The sequence below is a fragment of the Homo sapiens genome, chromosome 7, assembly GCF_000001405.40.
Source record: "Homo sapiens chromosome 7, GRCh38.p14 Primary Assembly".
Classification (NCBI taxonomy): Eukaryota; Metazoa; Chordata; class Mammalia; order Primates; family Hominidae; genus Homo; species Homo sapiens.
Window position 1 is genome coordinate 25,198,516 of NC_000007.14, and position 20,999 is coordinate 25,219,514.

Genomic DNA, 20,999 nt, shown 5'->3' on the forward strand with positions numbered 1-20,999 from the left:
ACCTACTTGCAATTTCCTGACAGCCTTTTTCTTGTCTGCATACCTTTCCACCTGCTATTCATTCATACCAAGTTTCATTCTCTTTGGTAAACCTTATGTATCAGTCTGTGTTCAGCAAGGAGACAGAAACCACACCCATTATTTGAACGGGACAAATTTAATAAGTAAAAGCTTGTTTACTAGAGGAAAGTGCTTAACTACTCAGAGGGACCAAAGAGGACTTTAAGAAGCTATAACTTGTAGGCTGAGGTAGAGTAAACAATAAAGAAACTTAGGACCAGAAGGGTCTCCCTGCCTCAACGAAGGCTGAGATGCAAACTTCTTGGAAGACAGCATGGCTTCCAAGCCTTCAGATGGAGAAGAAACTTGCCAGGGTGCAGGCGGCGGTAGTCCCTAGAAGTAGTCCGCTCTTGTTGGAGGGTGTGAGCTGAGCAGAACTGGTCTGTAGATGTGGCCTGCCATTGCTGGTGGATGTGGCTGCTGGTGGAGGGAGTGGCCTGAGGGCAGAGCTGGAACTGAACATGAGGCCACTGGACTCCCATGCTGAATAATAATAATAATAATAGTAATAATAAAAACATCAGAAGACAAGAACCTGAAACTGAGGTGTCTTCCTGTTATCTTTGCCTTTTAAGGTCACTCCAGTGCTGTCTTTTGGTGAAGCTTAAAAGACAGGAGAAACGTTTGCAGAGTCTCACAAAGCAGGGTGAAGAAGAGTTGATTTGGACCTGAGAGCCAATAAACAGATAACTCACACACCATAATAATAATGATAATTTATTTAATGTATATTATGTGCCTGGTGCTGTGATACAATTATATGTCTGTAAATGTGTGTAAGTGTATGTAGTTTTAAATTCTATAACACACCTGTGAGATAGATATTATTACCATGTGACATGTGAGAAAAATGGTCCAGGTTTGTCTGGGCATCAAAGCTGTGCTCTTGTCCACTCTGCTATCCTGATTTTCCTTTCCTGTCTTTGGAAAGTTAAATATTCTCTCTTGTCTTCCCCCTTGTGACATGAGCAGGTCTGTTTATTTATTTATTTATTTGAGTTGGAGTCTTGCTCTGTCTTCCAGACTACAGTGCAGTGATGTGTTCTCAGCTCACTGCAACTCTGCCTCCTGGGTCCAAGTGATTCTTCTGCCTCAGCCTCCTGAGTAGCTGGGATTACAGGCGCTCACCATCACGCCCCGCTAATTTTTGTATTTTTAGTAGAGATGGGGTTTCACCATGTTAGCCAGGCTGGTCTCAAGCTCCTGACCTCAGGTGATCCGCCCACCTCGGCCTCCCACAATACTGGGATTACAGGTGTGAGCCACCACTCCTGGCTGCAGGCCAGTTTATATGGAGTTTATCCAGGAGTACCTAGAAAGCAGGAACTGTGTTTTTCTATTCATTTCGGGTTTCAAATGCCTATGATTAGTGCTTGGTACCTAACAGGCACTTAAATGTCCACCAAAAGAACAATTGGTTGGATGTTTTATCTTTGCAGTTAATGCCAATGAGGTAAGTAACTCTGGAAACACGTCTGTAGGTGCTTAATAAATCCATTGCATTGAGTATTTGCCATTGGATTGAGCAAGTCAGCTCTTGTTGAGTCTTGGGAATAGGGAATGCTGGAAATTCCTTTTTTTATTTTTATTTTTTGTAGTTTGGTTTATTTATTAATATTATAAAATGTTAAAAAATTATATCAATTTCAAATGTCTTTGATATGTTTTTGTGTTTTACAAAGCTTTGAGTTCTTTCAAAATAATAGCCCACAGCATAATAGTACCATTTGGTTCACACTCATGGATAGATTCTATTCTTGACCATTCTGTTAAATTTCTTTCAGATTCACATTCTATCTTTTTAGTTATTCAAGTAGAAAACTTTGGAGTTATCTTCAGCACCTCTCTTTTTCTCATATCCCTCATCCAATTTATAGCATGTCCTATTAATTCTACCTTCAAAATACACTCAGAATCTGGCCACTTTGCACAACCTCTGAAGTGCCAACCTGATCCAACTTCCATTATCTATTCTGTGTTATTTTTAAAGTCTTCTAACTAGTCTCCTTGCTTCCTTTCTTGCCATCTACAGCCTGTATTCCACTCAGAAGCCAAAGTGATACTTTTAGGTCTATTATCTTGCTCTTAGTTTTCTATCTCATCTCTTTTGTATTCCTTTATGCCTATTTTGCTGCCGTTTGTATTAATCAAGATTGTGTTATTCAATTTATCTCCTCCATTAACCTTTTTATTGTATCTTTTAGTGTCATTTTGTTAGTGGGTGCAAAATAAATTACAAAACATATCTTTATTACAGTTTGTGTACATTAGTAATTAGTGCTTTTCCTGCATACTGAACAATGCAGAAAATTTACAAAAGTTTAATTCCATTTGCCTTCGACCTCACCTTGTTTGCTATTGTTGTCATTGATTTGACTTCTGTTACACAGCTCACATGACATTGCTATTATTGTTTCTCTAAATGATCAATAATTTTAGATTTACCCACATACTTTCCTTTTCTGGCATGTACTGCCTCTTGCATTTCCATGTTTCCATCTAGGAACATGATCTTTTAGCCTGAAGAATTTAGTATTCCTTGTAGAGTAAGCACAATGGTGAAGAGCTCTTTAAGCCTTTGTTTGTCTGAGAATGTCTGACAACTTATTTACTTTGCCACTTTCTTCTTCTTCTCCTTCCTCTTCTTTCCTCTTTCCTCCTCCTCCTCCTCCTCCTCTTCTTTCTTCTCTCCTTCTTTTACTGAGATAGGGTCTCACTTCAACGCTCAGGCTGGAATGCAGTGGCACAGTCTGGAATCACTGCAACCTCGACCTTCCAGGCTCATGTGATTCTCCCACCTCAGCCTCCTGAATAGCTGGGACTACAGGTGTGTGCTGCCATGCCTGGCTAATTTTTGTGTTTTTTGTAGAAATGGGGTTTCACTATGTTGGCCAGGCTGCTCTCAAGCTCCTGGGCTCAAGCCATCCACCAGCCTTCGCCTCCCAAAGTGCTAGGATTACAGGCGTTGAGCCTGCCTTCATTTTTGAAAGAAGTTTTCACTGTATAGGTTGACTGTTTCTAAACATTAAGGTGTCTCTTCATTGTCTTCTGGCTTCCATTGTTTCTATTGAGAAGTTAACTGTAATTTGCATTTTCCCACTGAAGATAACATGTAATTTTTAACAGAGTCTCACTCTGTGACCCATGCTGGAGTGTAATGGTGCGATCTTGGCTCACTGCAACCCCTGCCTCCCCGGTTCAAGCAATTCTCCTGTCTCAGCCTCCAGAGTAGCTGGGATTACAGGAGCACACCACCATGCCTAGCTAATTTTTGTGTTTTCAGTAGAGACAGGGTTTCGCCATGTTGGCCAGGCTGCTCTTGAACTCCTGACCTCAGGTGATCCACCTGCCTCAGCCTCCCAAAGTGCTGGGATTATAGGCGTGAGCCACCACGCCCAGTCTACTTTTACGATTTTCTCTCTAACTTTGTTTTTCTCCACTTTGATTATAATGTGCATAGGTGTAGGTCTGTTTTTATTTTTCCTGCTTAGTGTTCTTCGAACTTCTTGACTCTCTAGATTGATGTAGTTAATCAGTTTTGGATTATTCTCAGCCAGGATTTCTTTAAGTACTGGCTTTATCAAATTCTCTCCTACCCTTTGGAGATCTTCTGACTGTGTCTCACATTTCTCTTCTGCTCTGTTCTATTTTCATTATTTTTCATCTCTGCTCTTGTTTCAATACTGTCTATTGATCTGCTTGAAGTTTACTCATGCTGTCTTCTGCTGAGTTTAGTTGGCTGTTAAGCGGCATCCAAAGGATTTTAAATTTCAGATTTCATATTTTGCAGTTTATCATTTGATTTTTTTTATAGATTTAAATTATGTTTTAAAATACTCCATGTTTTTATTTGTTCTGCCCATTAAAAATTTATTTGTCTTCCCCTGGCTGTTTTCAAGTGTTTGGTTTTTGGCAGTTTGAGTATGCGATGCCTAGATGTAGACTTTTTGGGTACTGCTTGATGTTCTCTGAACTTCCTGGATCTGTGGTTTGGTGTCTATCGTTCATTTTGGAAAGTTCTTGACTATGATTATTTCAAATATTTCTTCTGCTCCATTCTCTCTTTTTTCTTCTGTTATTCAATTATGCATATATTTCACCTTTTGAAATTATCCCATGTTTTTGGATGTCCTATTCTGTTTTTTTTTTTTTTTATTTTCCTATTCTTTTTTCTCTTTGCATTTCAGTTTGGGAAGTTTTTGTTGACCTGTCTTCAAACTCACTGGTTGTTCCTTATTCATCTCCAGTGTACTAGTGAGCCCATCAAGGTCATTCTTCATTTCTGTTACAGTGCTTTTTTTTTTTTTTTGCTAGCATTTCTTTTTTGTTTCTTTCTTAGAGTTTCTCTCTCTCTCTGCCTACATTAAATTACATCTCTGCTTACATCTGCTTTTCATGTTGTCTACTTTTTTCATTAGAGCCCTTGACATATTAATCATTGTTATTTAAAATTCCCTATATGGTAATTCCAGAGTCTGTGTCATATCTGAGTCTGGTTCTGGTGCTTGTTTTGTCTTTTCAGACTGTGTTTTTTTTCTTTCTTTTGACATGTCTTGTAATTTTTTGTTTAAAGTTAGCTATGTTAGGTTGGATAATAAGAATTGAGGTTAACTAGGTCTTTATTGTGAAGTTTTATGTTGATCTGGCTAATAGTTGGGTTGTATTTAATGCTTCTGTAGCTGTAGGTGCCAGAGGCTTCAAATTACTCCAGTGTCCATGATTTCTCCTCTGTGGTCTTTGGGCTTCTCTAAGAACTCCCTCTTTTTTTTTTGACAGCATCTCGCTCTGTCACCAAGGCTGGAGTGCAGTGGTGCAATCTCAGCTCACTGCAGCCTCAACCTCCTGGGCTCAAGGGATCTTACCACCTCAGCCTCCCCACTAGCTGGGACTACAGGCATATGCCACCATGACTGCCCAATTTTTGTACTTTTAATGGAGATGGGGTTTCGTTATATTGCCCAGGCTGGTCTTGAACTCCTGGGCTAAAGTGATCTGACCGCCTCAGCCTCACAAAGTGCTGGGATTACAGGTGTGAGCCACCATAACCGGCCAGAATGCCTTCTTAAATAGAATCTGCACATTGCAGTTCTTTCAGATATAATTCATTGTTATTATACTGGAGGCTGTTGATATGGTGGTAAGGTGTAGGGGAGGGGAAGTTATCTATAATATTATAATTAAATTTCATTTTCATAGTAGGCCTGTGTTCCTGGACAATGTCCTTCACGAGTATTACTTAGCCATCACTCTCCTCTCCTGAGTAGGTGAGACAGTAATGCTAGGCAAGGATCTGGGCATATGGTTATAAATGGTTATAATTCCCCTTCTCCTACTAGAGCCACAAGGGGATCTTTCTTGACTGTTGACCATAAGAACTCAGTTGGGTTTGAGGAAGTAAAATCTATGAAAGGTTATGTCTCAGACTGTAGCCCCCAGGAATTTTTCACTCTTATGCTAATCTACACTCAGCTCTCAACAGTTTGTCAAAATTACTACTTGTGTGTTACTACCAGTTTATAGCTCCAGTGGCTCAGTGGCTTCTGCTCCAGGTAAACATAAACTTAGTTGTGTGTGTGTGCATGTGTGTGTGTGTGTGTCTGTGTGTGTGTTTGTATTCAAATGTCTCTTTAGATTTCAGGATGGTGGTTTTCTCTGTCGACTCAGTTGTCTAATGAGTCCAAGAACAGTCATCGATTTTCCATTTTTTCAGCTTTTTTCCCCCTTTATTGTAAGAACAGGAATGACACCTTTTATGCTCTTCACACGTCAGAGCTGGAACTAGGAGTCTAATGTATTTAAAAGCTATTAATCACAGTTATTTTAAGACCTGATATATAGATTGTTCCTGGGTCTGCTTCATTGACCGCTTTATTTCTTATCAGACACGTTTTTCTTCTTTGCATATCTAGAAGTTTTTTAAAATTGTACTGCAAATATTATTGACATAGACTGTAGAAGCTTTGGATTATGCTATGATCCTCTAAAAAGTGTTGAGTTTTGTTTTGGCAGCAGTTAAATCACCAGCACATTGCTTTGATTCTGTTGAGGCTTCGTGTTAGGCTTTAGGGTAGGTTTTTTCAGTTTTGCCCCCACTTCCAGGACATGGCGTTTTACAAAAGGATCTCAACTAAAGGGTCAGGATATTCCTCAAAGTCCCTCTGGCTGGGCCTGAACTCCACTGTCACCTCAGCACCGTTAAGTGTCCAGAATCTCTGCTTAGCGCTTGCACCCCGGCAGCTGTTCTCTTCTCGGGCTCCTGGAGTCTTACTCTATGTTTGAGGCCCTCCACCCCAAGAGGTCTGAATCCAAGCTCCGTGCATCTTCTCTGAGCTTCTAGGATTCGCTAATTTCTAGTTTTTCCTCTGCTTCCCCAGCTGTATGGGTGTTACCTGCTTACTGTCAATATTATTTTTGGTTTCCTATATCCTCTTTTTGTTTTTCTCTCAGGCCTCTAACATCTGTATAACCAATTTTCTGTATTAAATTCTCTCTGCTGAAATGCCTAGTTTGTTTTCTGTTTTCCTAACTGTGCATATTGCACCATGGATAGATAGAAAACAATGTTGACCGAAACAGTAAGAAACAGAATGAGATCTAAGGCACTTTATCACTGAGTTGAATTAAACACACACAGATAGAGGATGCATGCATATTTGAAGACTTATATTGAATCCATTTAGAGCCTATGGGGGAAAGAGGGAATGGAAGTGGTAGTCAGTGATAAAAGAAATAAAATAAAATGAGAGGGGCATGATAGCAAGCCCTGAATTCAGGAGTACAAGTAACCCAACTGTCTGCAAGCACCTGATGTCCAAAATAAAAGAAAGCAAAACAATAACAACCAAAAAGTGCTATTCTTCTGATGTATGTTAGCGTGATTTGTCTTTTTGGAAAGGCAATTCCTTGGAAGAAAGATAAAGATCAGATGTCAGAAAAGGAAAAGAAAACCATTTATCTCAAAACATTTAAACTATTCTAAAAGATAAATGAATGGCCACATCAGGGTCAAGAACGGGCCACTAATTATTACGCTAACAGCCTTTGGCGAATAGGTGCTCCAATGAGGAAAATGGCAAATTTAAGAGTAGCTAGGCAAATTATCAACATTATTGTCAGCAAATCTGACTAAAATGGAAAGCTATAACAAAAGCATCTTATCCGATGCAGGTCATGGGTAAAGTAAGAAGGAAATAATTTTCGATTCCCTGATATGGAAAATGCAAGCATCATTATTCATTGCTTAATTCCACATCAGGACTATCCACATTGTCTCCTATGCCATGGAGGAAAATAATAGCACTAAGACACAATCTTGACTTTCTATATCCAGAGCAACTCAGTTATTTCCATTGTAGGTGGTATATCTTTTAGGATACAAAATTCAGGAGCTCAAAAACAAACTGTATCTGTTTTTTATATATAAATTTAATTTTGTTTCTGAGCGATCAGCCTGCAGGGTGTGGGAGGATTTTACATCAGTTACTCTTGGGTATATCCTCCCTCATCAGGATTTCATGGAGATTGTGGAGGGTGTTGTGCAGTGACCAGAAGCACCATTCTGGTAGTCAAGTTGGCAATTTTCACCGTGATGTCAATTTTCTATATTTGTATGTCTTCACTCCATGATGCATGGGAAACCCAACTGGCTGTGGCCTCACTCCAGTTCCCTGGTTCCCACTGCTTCAGGATCCACAAGAGTTTCTTTCTGCTCCTCTCAGCTTGAACGAATGCTTTGCTCCATTCTCCTCTTTTCAGACATTCTGCTGCTTCTTCTTAAAAAAAATGCTATCCTTGCTCTGAGGCATATAGTTTAGGAAACAGGGCTAGAAAGTTGGTTCTTCACTTTCCACCTTACCACAAACCTCCCCTGAGGCATGCAGCATAAGAAAGAGCAAAGGAGAAATACTGGGAGGGCTAAATATATAAATTAATATCTCACAATATTAGCCATGTACATCTTTTTGCAGGATCAGTCCATTTATGTGACAAAGTGAATAGAGAAGGAAGAGAAAAAAAAAGCAGACAGGAGAATGGGCAATATATTTTATAATTGATGAAAATTCAAGCATAATCACTTTACATGTAATAATCATGGAATCAAATGTCAAGATAGAAAAATGATAGGGAGGTACTGAATATGGTCAGTTTGCCAGCATTGAAGCTATAAACCAAAACGTTTTCGAGACAGGTCTCAATCAATTTAGAAGTTTATTTTGCCAAGGTTAATGGCATGCCTGTGACACAGAAGGTCCTGAGAATGCGAGCCTAAAGTGGTTAGGCTACAGTTTGGTTTTATATGTTTTAGGGAGACATAATACATCAATCAGTACATGCAAGACGTACACTGGTTTGGTCTAGAAAGGCGGGACAACTCCAGGGAGTGGTATTTATTGATTGGCAGTTGCTTGAAAGAGTTTATCTAAAGACTTGGAATTACTAGAAGGAAGTGTCTGGGTTAAGATAAGGGGTTATGAACACCAAGGTTTTTATTATGCACATGAAGCCCCAGGGTAGCATACATAGTAGGAGCTTAAGAAATCTTTGCTGATCAAAAATGAACTGGACCTATGTGAAGTGTGGATGGCAAAGTGATACGCATTTCAGTGGAATATGCTGAAGATGGGAGTAGTTTTTGGCAGAATAGGTGGAGAGGTTTTATAAAAATCTACTTAATCTAAAGAGGCATATCATAGATTTTGACGCCCAGAAAGCAAGATTGATAGAAATTTATTGATGTGGGCAAAGAGATGTTTAAAATATTTTGATTATACACTCAGTAAAAGAATTTGTGCATTAGGCCCTGTGTGTGTGTGTGTGTGTTTTAGTCACACACATATCTCTTTACTAATATATACTATACATATGGACACAACTCTTACACATATTTATAGTAAAATATGCACTTACAATGAGGCGTACCATATATTTGCATTTATGGCTACCTGGTTTCTTTCTTTTTTTTGCCATTACTTTGTCCATTTCATAAATGTTACTTGAACAACTACTGTTCAGGCCTGATCCCTGATCCCAGAAAACTCTTCAGTTTAGCAAACCATTGGCTTCCAAAGTAAGGTGAGACATAACCAAGATGACACAAGATGACCTAATAGGGCCTGGAAAGAAAATATTAGAATACTATATATTTTTATCCCAACACTTTAAATTTTATCCCAACACTTTAAATTTATATTTTAATTTTAAAACACTGAAAGTTATATTTAAATTTATATCTTCATTATATTATTCTTATTATATAGAGACAGGGTCTCATTCTGTTGCCCATGCTGGAGTACAGTGGTGCAATCATAGCTCACTGCAGCCTCGAACTTCTGGGCACAAGCAATCCTCCTGCCTCAGCAACCTGAGTAGCTAGGTCTAAAGGTGCACACCTCAACTCCTGGCTAATTAAAAAAAATTGTCTAACTATATTGCGCAGGCTGGTCTTGAACTCTTGGCCCCAAGCAATTCTTGTGCTTTGGCCTCCCAAAGCATTGGGATTATAGGTGTGAGTCACTGCACTTGGCTAGTTTTTGTTTATATTTAATATGGTACTTTCTTAATTCAGTTATACACATAAAGGAAGGGTATGGAGAAATAGGCTTTCATATGTTTTCCAAGGGAGTGTGAATCGGTACAGTGTAGATGGAGGGCAATTTACCAATATCTATCAAAGTTATGACTGTTTAGCATTTTGACCTAGAAATTACCCTTCTAGGAATTTTTCTTTTACACACACACTCACAGGGCTTGAACACACACAGATTATTCAGTTCAGCATTGTGTGTAATAGGAAAAGCTTTGATATAACTTAAATGTCCACCAAATAAATTATGTTACATCTCTGTAATGGAATACCAATTAAAAATAAAGATACTTAAAGAAATTGTGCATGTCTAAGACATAGCATGATGTTATTATGGTTTTATATATATATTTTGTAAAGAAGTTCTTATAGTGAAGCAAATTAACACATCCATCATTTCACATAATTACCCATTTTCTTTTGCTTTTTTGACAGGAGCAGCTAAAATCTACAGTCTTAGGATGAATCCCATATCCAGTCTAATTTTGTTACCTACAGTCCTCATGTTGTACATCAGATCTCTAAACTTGTTTGCCCCACATATCTGCTGTTTTGTACCTTTGGACCTATATCTCCCCATGTCCTCCCCACCCCATCTCTGTTAACCACTGTTTTGTTCCCTATCTCTAAATATTTAACTTTTTTTTTTGATGTTACATGTAAGTGAGATTAGGATCCTGCCATATTTTTCTTTTTGTGTCTGGCTTACTTCACTTTGTATAATGTCCTCCAGGTTCATCCATGTGTGATAAATGGCAAGATCTCATTCCATTTTAAGGTAGAATAATATTCCACTGTACGTGTGTACCACAGTTTCTTTATCCACTTGTTCACAGAGACTTAGGTTGTTTCCATAGCTTGGCTATTGTAATGCTGCAATAAACATGGGAGTGTAGACATCTTTATGAGGTGGTAATTTCATTTCTTTTAGGTATATCATATGCCCAGAAGAGGGATTGTGGGGTCATGTGGTAGTTCTATTTTTAATTTATTTAGAAACCTCTGTACTCTTTTCCATAATGGCTGCACCAATCTGCAATCCCCCAACAGTGTACAAAAATTTTCTTTTCTCCACACCCTTGCCAACATTTGTTATCTTTTGACTTTTTGATAATGTCCATCCTAACAGGTGTGAGATGATATCTCACAGTGGTTTTCATTTGCAGTTCCATGATAATTAATGATATTGAGCACCTTTTCATACACCTATTTGAAACTCTTATTTCTCCCTTGGAGAAAAGCCTACTCATCTCTTTTGCCCAGTTTATAAACAGGTTGTTTCCCCCCTATTTAGTTGTGTGAGTTTTTTATGAATTTTGGTTATTAACCCCTTATCAGATATATGGTTTGCAAATACTTTTTCCTAATCCATAGGCTGCTGTTTCATTTTTTTTCTGCTGTGCAGAAGCTTTTTAGTTTGATATAATACCATTTATTTAGTTTTATTTTTAGGTCTGAGATTTCGGTGTGATATACAAAAAGCTATTGCTGAGGCCAATATCCAGGAGATTTCCCCCTATGTTCTCTTCTAGGAGTTTTATACTTTCTGATCCTATATTTATGTCATTTATCCATTTTGAGTTGATTTTGGTGTATGGTATATGATGGATATGGGTCTAATTTTGTTCTTTGCATATAGAATTCTAGTTTTCCCAGGCATCATTCATTGAAGCAACTATCTTCTCTCCATTTGCCTTGTTGGTGTCCTTGTTAGAAATTAGTTGACTGTATATGTTCAGATTTATTTCTGGGCTTTCCATTCTGTTCTCCTAGTATATGTGTCTGCTTTTATGCCAGTACCCTACTGTTTTGATTTCTATAGCTTTGCAATATAGTTTTAAGTCAGGAGTGTAATGCCTCCAACTGTGTTTTTCCTTTTCAGAATTGTTTTGGCTCTCTGGGGTCGTTTATGCTTCCATTTGAATTTTAGGATTGTATTTATAAGGGAAGGTGAGTGGGCATCCTTGCCTTGTACCAGGTCTTAGTGGTAAATATTTCAGTTATTCCCCATTGATTATGTTAGCTGTGAATTTTTTGTAAGTGGCCTTTATTACGTTGAAAGTTTTTTTCTATACCTAAACTGTTGAGAACTTTTATCAAGAAAGGATGTTGGACTTCGTCCCATGCTTTTTCTGTACCAGTTGAGATGATCATGTGATCTTTGTCTTTCATTCTGTTAATGTTATGTATGACATTGATTGATTTGCATATCTTGAACCAGCCATGCATGCCAGGGATAAATCCCACTTCATCATGATGTATAATTGTTTCGATGTTTTGTTGGATTGGGTTTGCTAATATTTTATTGATAATTTTTGCATGAATTTTAATCAGATAAATTGGTCTGTAGTTTTACTTTCTTGTGATATCTTTGTCTGGCATAGGTGTCAAGGTGATGCAGACCTCATAAAATCAGTTTGGAAATATATTTCTTCAGGCTCTATTTTTCTTTTTCTTTCTTTTTTTTTTTTTTGAGATGGAGTCTTGCTCTATCGCCCAGGCTGGAGTGCAGTAGGGCAATCTCAGCTCACTGCAAGCTCTGCCTCCTGGGTTCACGCCATTCTCCTGCCTCAGCCTCCCCAGCAGCTGGGACTACAGGTGCATGCTGCCACGCTCAGCTAATTTTTTGTATTTTTAGTAGAGACAGGGTTTCACTGTGTTAGTCAGGATGGAAAAAAAAGAGGGGCTCTATTTTTCAGAAGAGTTTAAGAAGTACTGGTATTAATTCCTCTTGGAATGTTTGGTAGAATTCAGCTGTGAAGCCATCAGACCCTGGTTTTCTTTGTTGGGAGGTTTCTGATTACTTCTTCAATCTCTCTCTTTATTATTGGTCTGTCCAGGTTTTCTGTTTCTTCCTGACTCAGTCTTAGTAGGTTGTAGGTTTCTAAGACTTTATTTCCTCTGGTTATTCAATTTGTTGGCAAATAATTGTTCATAATAATCTCTTATAATCCTTTTTATTTCTGAGGCATCGATTGCAATTTCTTCACTTTCATTTTTGATTTATTTGAGTCTTCTTTTTTTCCCTTAGTTAAATTAGCTAAGGGTTTGTCAATTTTGTTTATTTTTTCAAAAAAACTGTTAGTTTTGTTGATTCTTTCTATGGCTTTTCTGTGCTTAATTTGATTTATTTATGTTCTGCTTTTTATTGTTTTCTTCCTTCTGTTTAATTTCATGTTTAGGCCAGGCATGCTGGCTCACACCTGTAATCCTAATGCTTTAGGAGGGTGAGGTGGGAAGATCTCTTGAGCCCAAGAGTTCAACACCAGCCTGGGGAACACAGCAAGACCTGGTCTTTACAAAAAATAAAAAGTTAGCTGGACATGGTGGCTGGCACACACCTGTGGTCTTAGCTATTTGGGAGACTGAAGTGGGAGGATCGCTTGAACCTGGGAGGTAGAGGCTGCAGTGAGCCAGTTGCACTACTGCACACCAGCTTGGGTGACAGAATGAAACCATGTCTCAAAGAAAACAAAAATGTGTGTTTTGTTCTTTTTCTAGTTCCTTGTGGTGTAATGTTAGATGGTTTATTTGGGATCTTCTGCTTAAAAAATTTTTTTTTTCACTGTCACAAATTTTACAGTCTTTCTTCTTTTTTGATGTAGGTGTGTGTTGTTATAAACTTTCCTCTTAGGACTGCTTTTGTTGTATCCCATAGGTTTCGTTATTGATGATACATTTTATGTACTAATGTGAAACCTCCAAAATATATCTTTTTTTTTTTGAGACAGAATCTCACTCTGTCTCCCAGGCTGGAGTGCAGTGGCATGATCTCGGCTCCCTGCAAGCTCTGCCTCCCGGGTTCACGCCATTCTCCTGCCTCAGCCTCCTGAGTAGCTGGGACTACAGGCTCCCGCCACCATGCCTGGCTATTTTTTTGTCTTTTTAGTAGAGACCGGGTTTCACCGTGTTAGCCAGGATGGTCTCGATTTGCTGACCTCGTGATCCGCCCGCCTCGGCCTCCCAAAGTGTTGGGATTACAGGCGTGAGCCACTGCGCCCGGCCGGTAAGTTCTTTAAACTTTGCCTTTCCAAGCTTGGCAATGTGAGCCACAGATTTGGGACCCAGGACATTGCCTCCCCAGTGACGGTGGATCTCATCGTTATCTGTTGTTGTAGTTGGTCCTCATAGCTTCCGCCAGCTTAGCCAAAGCTCCTTTGTCTTCCGAGTTCACCTGCGTGAAGGCAACAGTGGTGCAGGTCTTCCTGTGGACTACACGTCCCAGTCTTGCCTTCCCCTTGATAATGCAGGGGAAGAGACCCCCATTTTACGACATAAGGCAGGCAGGAAGACAACCAGCTGGATGGTATCCACATCGTGTGCCATCACCACCAGCTGAGTCTTCTTGTTCTCCACCAAGGTGGTGACGGTGTTAACTCCTGCTTGAAGGACAAGTGGTCTCCTAGTGGGGATGTCCCCTTTGCTGGCAGCTTTCTTCTCAGCCCGGACCAACAGCCTCTGCTTCTTCTCTTGCTTTGTCTCTGGTCTGTAGTTGTGGGCCAGCTGAAGCAGCTGAGTAGCTGTTTGGAGGTGCAGGGCTTGGGTGAACTGGTTAATCGCACGCAGGAGGCACTTTCAAGTCGCTTACGGAGAATGGCTCTCTGCCACTGCAACCTGATATAACCTAATACAGACAATTTCATGAAGCAGGTGAGGTCTCTTTTGGGCTGGATGTCCTGTCCAATGCCAAAATTCTTAGGCCTTTTGTCAAACAGGGGACTCGCCACTTTCTTAACCTCCTGTTTCTTCACGACAGCAGGGGCCGGAGCCACCTTCTTCCCCTTGGCCTTCTTTCCTTTCGGCATCTTGGGTGGCAGGAAGAGAGAGCCATATTTTCTTATAAGTTACATACACACACCATTTCTTATATACCCATAGAAAATTTCTGGAAATATGCATAAGAACCTGGTCACATGGGTTGACTTTGGCCAGGGGAATTGGTAACTAGAATTGAATGGAGAGAGGGAGAGGTTTCACTATATATATATATATATATATATATATATATATACACACACACATATATATATATATACACACACATATATATATAGAGTGAATATATATATAGTGAATATATATAGTGAATATATATAGTGAATATATATAGTGAATATATATATTGAATATGTATATATTGAATATATATATATTGAATATATATATATTGAATATATATAGTGAATATATATAGTGAATATATATATTGAATATATATAGTGAATATATATAGTGAATATATATAGTGAATATATATAGTGAATATATATATAGTGAATATATATAGTGAATATATATATAGTGAATACATATAGTGAATATATATATATTGAATATATGTATAGTGAATATATATAGTGAATATATATATATTGAATATATATAGTGAATATATATATAGTGAATATATATATAGTGAATATATATATAGTGAATATATATATAGTGAATATATATATAGTGAATATATATATTGAATATATATATAGTGAATATATATATTGAATATATATAGTGAATATATATATTGAATATATATATAGTGAATATATATATTGAATATATATAGTGAATATATATATTGAATATATATAGTGAATATATATATTGAATATATATAGTGAATATATATATAGTGAATATATATATTGAATATATGTATAGTGAATATATATAGTGAATATGTATAGTGAATATATATATAGTGAATATATATATTTTTAACAAATATATATATTTTTAGTTTTTTTGCACCTTTTGAATTTTGCAAATATATATATTTGTTTTTTTTTTTTTTTGCACCTTTTGAATTTTGAACTGTGTTACTCATTTGGTACAGGTTGGTTTTTCTGGAAGCAGATGCTGAGATGCAGTTTGGAGTACAAGATGTTTATTAAAGATCAACACCTGAGGAAGAAAGATAAGGAAAAGAAGAACTGGGCAGAAAAAGAAGTCCATCTGTGAGGAAACCTTGGCAAGACCTTGGCTAACCCTCTGTGGCGCTCCAGAGCACATATGGCCTACCAGAGCAATCCCAGGTGGGTGTAAATGGCCTTTATACCCCTTTTTTGACAGGGTATTGGATGCCATTGACCTGGGAAGGCGTTCTGGTGGGCCAGGTAGCTCTCTGCAGCTGAACGTTCCCCGCTAGATCTGACAGCTTGGGTAGCAAATCCTACCCTGAAGGGAGATGTATGTATCATGTCTCAACAAGGACACAACTTTTCCTATCCCCTCACTTTGCTGAGATTTTGGTTGGATATAAAATTCTAACAAAATTTAGAGGTAGGAAAATTTATTTTCAGATGAATAAATCTTCATGCAACTTACCTCTCAGGCACTCCTTTCTATCTGTTTAAGTCAGTGATATTCCCCCTTGGTCTCTAAATTAGTATCAAAATGCAGTTTTTTTTGTTTTTTTGTTTTTGGAAATGGAGTTTCATTCTTGTTGCCCAGGCTGGAGTGCAATAGCACAACCTCAGCTCACTGCAGCCTCTGCCTCCCAGATTCAAGCAATTCTCCTGCCTCAGCCTCCCGAGTAGCTGGGATTACAGATGCCCGCCACCACACCCAGCTAATTTTTTGTATTTTTAGTAGAGACGGAGTTTCACCATGTTGGCCAGGCTGGTCTCGAACTCCAGACCTCAGGTGATCCACCCGCCTCAGCCTCCGAAAGTACTGGGATTACAGATGTGAGCCACCATGCCCCGCCATCCAAACACAAATTTCAACTGATGCACCTGGTATAATCATGATTTTCAGACGTTTGTAGCCAAATAGAGGAAGTCATAACAAATGGCAAGTAGTTGCTTCTGGGGAAGAGGAATTCGGATTGGATGAAATTGAGACTTGGGGTGGTCATTTTCCATCCAACTGAGACATTTTTGAGAGTGAAAGGGGTCACTGTTAATAATTACACTGGGATAATAGGCATAAATTTTGCTATTAATTAAGTCATGCCCCCCACCCCTACCACCCCAAGTTTATATGTTGAAGCCCTAACCTCCAATGTGATTGTATCTGGAGAGATGGTCTTTAGGAAGTACTTAGGGTTCAGTGAAGTCATAATGATGGGTCCTTAATCCTATAGGACTGTGTCCTCATAAGAAGAGGAAGAGACAGATAGCTGTCTCTTCATGTACATGCACCAAGGAAAAGATATGCGAACATATAGTGAGAAGCGGCCATCTGCAAGCCAGGAAGATAGCCCTCGCGAGAACTCCACCATGCTGGTGTCCCAATCTCAGACTTCCATTCTCCAGAATGTGAAAAAATACATTAAAAGTCTGTTGTTTAAGCCACCCAGTCTATGGTATTTGTTGTGGCAGCTCAAGCTGACTCATACACATCAGAACTGTCCCTGGGAAACCGGGGTGATTAATTTGATTAAAAGCCTTGCGGAATTCTTTGGAATTTTAAAACTTTATACATGTATCTCTTTGTTAAAGAGAAAATTAATTTTAAAAGAAGAATTATAAGAGTTTAGAAGTCAACTCATAAATCTTCACATCTCATGCAGAAATGGCATCTGTGATATTCCTGTTGTATAACCATCCTTGAACACCTTCTTGTGGCTCATGTTAGATCTATTTCTGGCGGCTATAATTGTTAGAAGATTCTTTCAAATTTGCCAGTATGTAACTGCCACCAATAGGTGATAATACAGAAGCTTTTCTCTTCTGTGACTAGCCCTGCTTTTAAAAGTGCATTGCTTTTCTTAGTCCACTAGGAGTGACACCTCCACCCTGTCCCAACCCCACCTTAGCTGTAGCACTGTGCTGTGTTTACTAGTGTTAGAGTGAAGAGTGGGGAGACCTGAAAAGTGGGGAGAGCAGGTTTGTGTAGGTTAAGAAACTAGACCTCAGAAATGATTTCATGTCTTGGATAAAGTCACGCATAACCCCACAAGGTAAAAGCTGTATCAGGTTTGATTGGCAAGTGAGTGCCTCATGCATCAGAGAAGTCACCGACTGCAGTGATGTATAACCCCTGGCTCCCTGCTGGCTCCGTTCCTCCATCAGCCTGCTGCCATTGCCCTCTCGCTCTCCCGTGATGTAGGACATAGCTGAGATTGACAGAGAGAGAAGGTTGAAGGGGCAGTAGTTAAAATGTCACCCACCCACGATGAAATCCAAATGGCTTAATTTACCACGATGTGTTTTAATTAATGAGAGTGAAAAAGTGAAGAGGTTGTACTTTCTAATCAAACAAAGTAATGCCTTAGTTACTGAAATGCAAATGGCTTCATTGGGAGGGAAGCAAAAGTTAATTAGGTCACATAGATAAATTAGGAGGAAACCAAAACCATCTTTGCCACAATTAGATCTTTGCCACAATTAGTTGGTTTGTAGTAAAAGAGAATATATGTAGAAATTAAAGATTCAAATGTAAATAGTTTTGCATTAGATTGCTTTGGGACTTTGGTGACTTTCAATTTTATAATAAATACCACCTTTGCATTCCACTGTAGATATTTTAATGTAAAAATGGTCTTGCTTATTCTCAGTGGGTGCTGTTTTAAGTCCTCTGCCTTTTCTAGAGGATGTGCTGATTCCTCACTGCTGAGAAATGATCCTTAACGTGTAACTAGACTTAAGATGCAACAAACATGTTTACTTTTGCCTTCTTTAAACTGTTGATGTTTATATTTTAGTTTAAAATTTAAAAAGTTTAAAGGTTATTAACTGAGCCTTAAGTGTACAGTATAAAACAAGAAGGCCTTTTTGTTGTGCTGGTGGTGTTTATTGTTTTGGTCTAAGAATTTAAAATTAGTTATGTACAAACGTGGAGTATTTTCTGCCCTCTAGTGGTCAAAAGTAATTTTGCAATATTGTCACATCTCAGTGCTTTCAATTACAAAGGAGAAGCTAGGTGATATTTTAAAAGCAGTTTGAAAATTATGTTGGTGCGTTGCTGTAGCTAATTACTGTTGTTGCATATTTTAAGAAAGAGAAACAATAGTTTTATGTTTTATTTATTAACCACAATATACCAATGCCTAGAAATCTGGCAAGAAGTGAAATAAATTTTAAGATAATTTTTTTTTCAGGATTAAAATAATATTTCTCTACTTCTACAAAGAGAGTATTAATTTGACATTAATCTAGTTATAATTTAATTCCACTCCTGATTCTAATCGTAATTTTCCTGTTTGGCTTCTTTCATACTTTAGTTCCTATATTTAGGAAGAGAATAATGGGTGATAATACTTTCTATTTCCTAAGCTACATATAGGATTATATGTATCACATTTGTGTTATATTATAAAAGGAAAATGCCGTGGCATATTTTATGAGCAATTATTTTTATTAGTTATCCTTGGGCATCTATTTGACTAATTGTTATTATTATATATTCTAAGATACTAGGTGTAAAGGTTCTAAATTTTATTGACTGCAATATAAAAAGATCAGGGAAGCAGATGAGAAGCAAAGTATAAATAGGCTATTAGGAAGGATGTGGAGGAGCCCAGAAGGTCAAAGAAAAGTGCTATAAAATAGCAGATGAGTGATTGTTGACCATTCTTCATTTCTTAGGAAAATTAAACTAATCAACTCTTCATTTTCATTACTGTGCTGAAATTAATGTCTCTCCATCTCTGACTGCTAACAGAAACCTTTGCTGTCCCAGGCATTTCCAAAGACGCAGTAGCTCTTGTCTCAGGTGAATCTAATATATTATAAACTGGTGAAATGATAAAAGAGTTCGGGAGAAAAAAAATTAGCAACAACTACCCCCTTTTAAGATAGGCTTAACGGGACTGTAGGAAAAATTTAATGTTCTGGTGAAAAACATGACATTACTAAATAAGTCTGTCATTTATAAAACCTTGTTTTTCTCATAGGATTTTTTTTATGGTAGCCAAAATAGCACTTAAGCTTTGGGTGTGATTTTGTAGGTATTAATAGTGTGAGCATAATTAGTGAATAGCATCAGACTATGTAAAAAGGCAAGTGAAATGTACTTAATGCCACTGAATTGTACACATCAAGATGGTTACAATGGTAAACTTTATGTTATGTATATTTTACTACAATTTAAAAAATTTAAAAAGGGCAAATGGAATCTTTCTGATTTTTAGTATTTCTAGCAATGGTGAATAAAATGTGCAACATCTAATAAACATTTCAGGAACTCTGGGCCACTTAATAAGAAATCCAAGTAAACAGTGGATATAATGAAGAGGGACAAATGCTCACCACATAATATTTTCCGAATTCAGGCCTGACTCCAAGAAGCAAAGTGATTCTATTTTCCACAGAGCATTCACCAGCACACACTCATCTGAGTGAGAGGGAGGGAACAGCTAGTACAATTCATGCCAGTGCGCAGGAGCAAACTTACTTCTGATTTACTTTAATTCCTTTACTGCTTTGTCCTAATTCATGAATGAGATCTGTCGCAGACTGCAAATAACCCAGGGAGGCAAGACCCATCCAGGCAGAAGTTTACCTACTGGCCGCCTTTGCCTTCACTCCATTTGCCATGAATGCATATTTCAGTGGCTCTCTGGACCACTTCAATTTCCTTTTATTACAAAATTTAAAAACATAGAGATGGGATCTCACTTTGTTGCCCAGGCTGGTCTCAAACTCCTGGTTTCAAGTGATCCACCCAACAGCCTCCCAAAGTGCTGGGACTACAGGCATGAGCCACGGTGCCTGGCTTGGACCACTTCAATTTTACTACTGAAGCAGAAACTGACAGTCAAATTTTATCACCAACAATAGCACCTTTTTTGCTAAAGGATAAAAATCAAAAAACATGACTTGCTCCTTGAGAGTCTAAGATAAAAGTGGTCCAGCTTGTATTCTGTGATGCTTTTACCTTTTACAGTCACTCATGACTGGTAAGGTAGGCATCTCCTTGCCTGCTCTAGAAGTAGATACCTTAAAGAACAACTAAACTAAAGCTCTTCAGGAATCTATGGTCCTTCTTTCTTCCCATTCTTCCTCCCTTCCCCTCTCTTCCTTCTTCTCCCTCTTCCTACCTTGCTCCCTCTCTTCCTTTTTTCCTTTCTCCCCCCTTCTCCTCCCTCCCTCCCTTCCTTCTAAAATCTTTATATAGTGTTTTAAAACTCCAAGGATTTATTCCTGGGCTTCAGTATATCCACTTTTTTCTTATTTAAACATAATTCAACGCATGTTTCCTGAATGCTTATTATGCTGCAGGGTTGGTTGTGTGGTAGTGAACAGGGCAGTGGATGATGGTTCAGAAGAGCAACACTTAAAAATCAGACCTTGGTTGAACCCACTTGTTAGCTCCCATTTATTGGGAAAGTTCTTTCTGAGCTCAGTTCTCATACATAAAAATGAATATAACAGAAGTGGTTAAAATAGCCTTAAATGCTAAAATA

The 20,999-nt window shown here is 38.1% G+C and overlaps 1 long non-coding RNA gene and 1 pseudogene across 1 annotated transcript in view; one reads left to right on the top strand and one right to left on the bottom strand.

Moving 5' to 3' along the window:
* The window catches only part of LOC124901603 (uncharacterized), a 61,442-nt gene extending 44,498 nt beyond the window's left edge, over positions 1 to 16,944 (top strand). Inside the window, exons 2-3 of the long non-coding RNA XR_007060261.1 lie at positions 15,483 to 15,681; positions 16,734 to 16,944. This is a non-coding gene — a long non-coding RNA (uncharacterized LOC124901603). The remainder of the gene's footprint in view (positions 1 to 15,482; positions 15,682 to 16,733) is intronic.
* RPL7AP41 (ribosomal protein L7a pseudogene 41) lies at positions 13,649 to 14,470 on the bottom strand (annotated as a pseudogene).
* Positions 16,945 to 20,999: the final 4,055 nt, after the last annotated feature.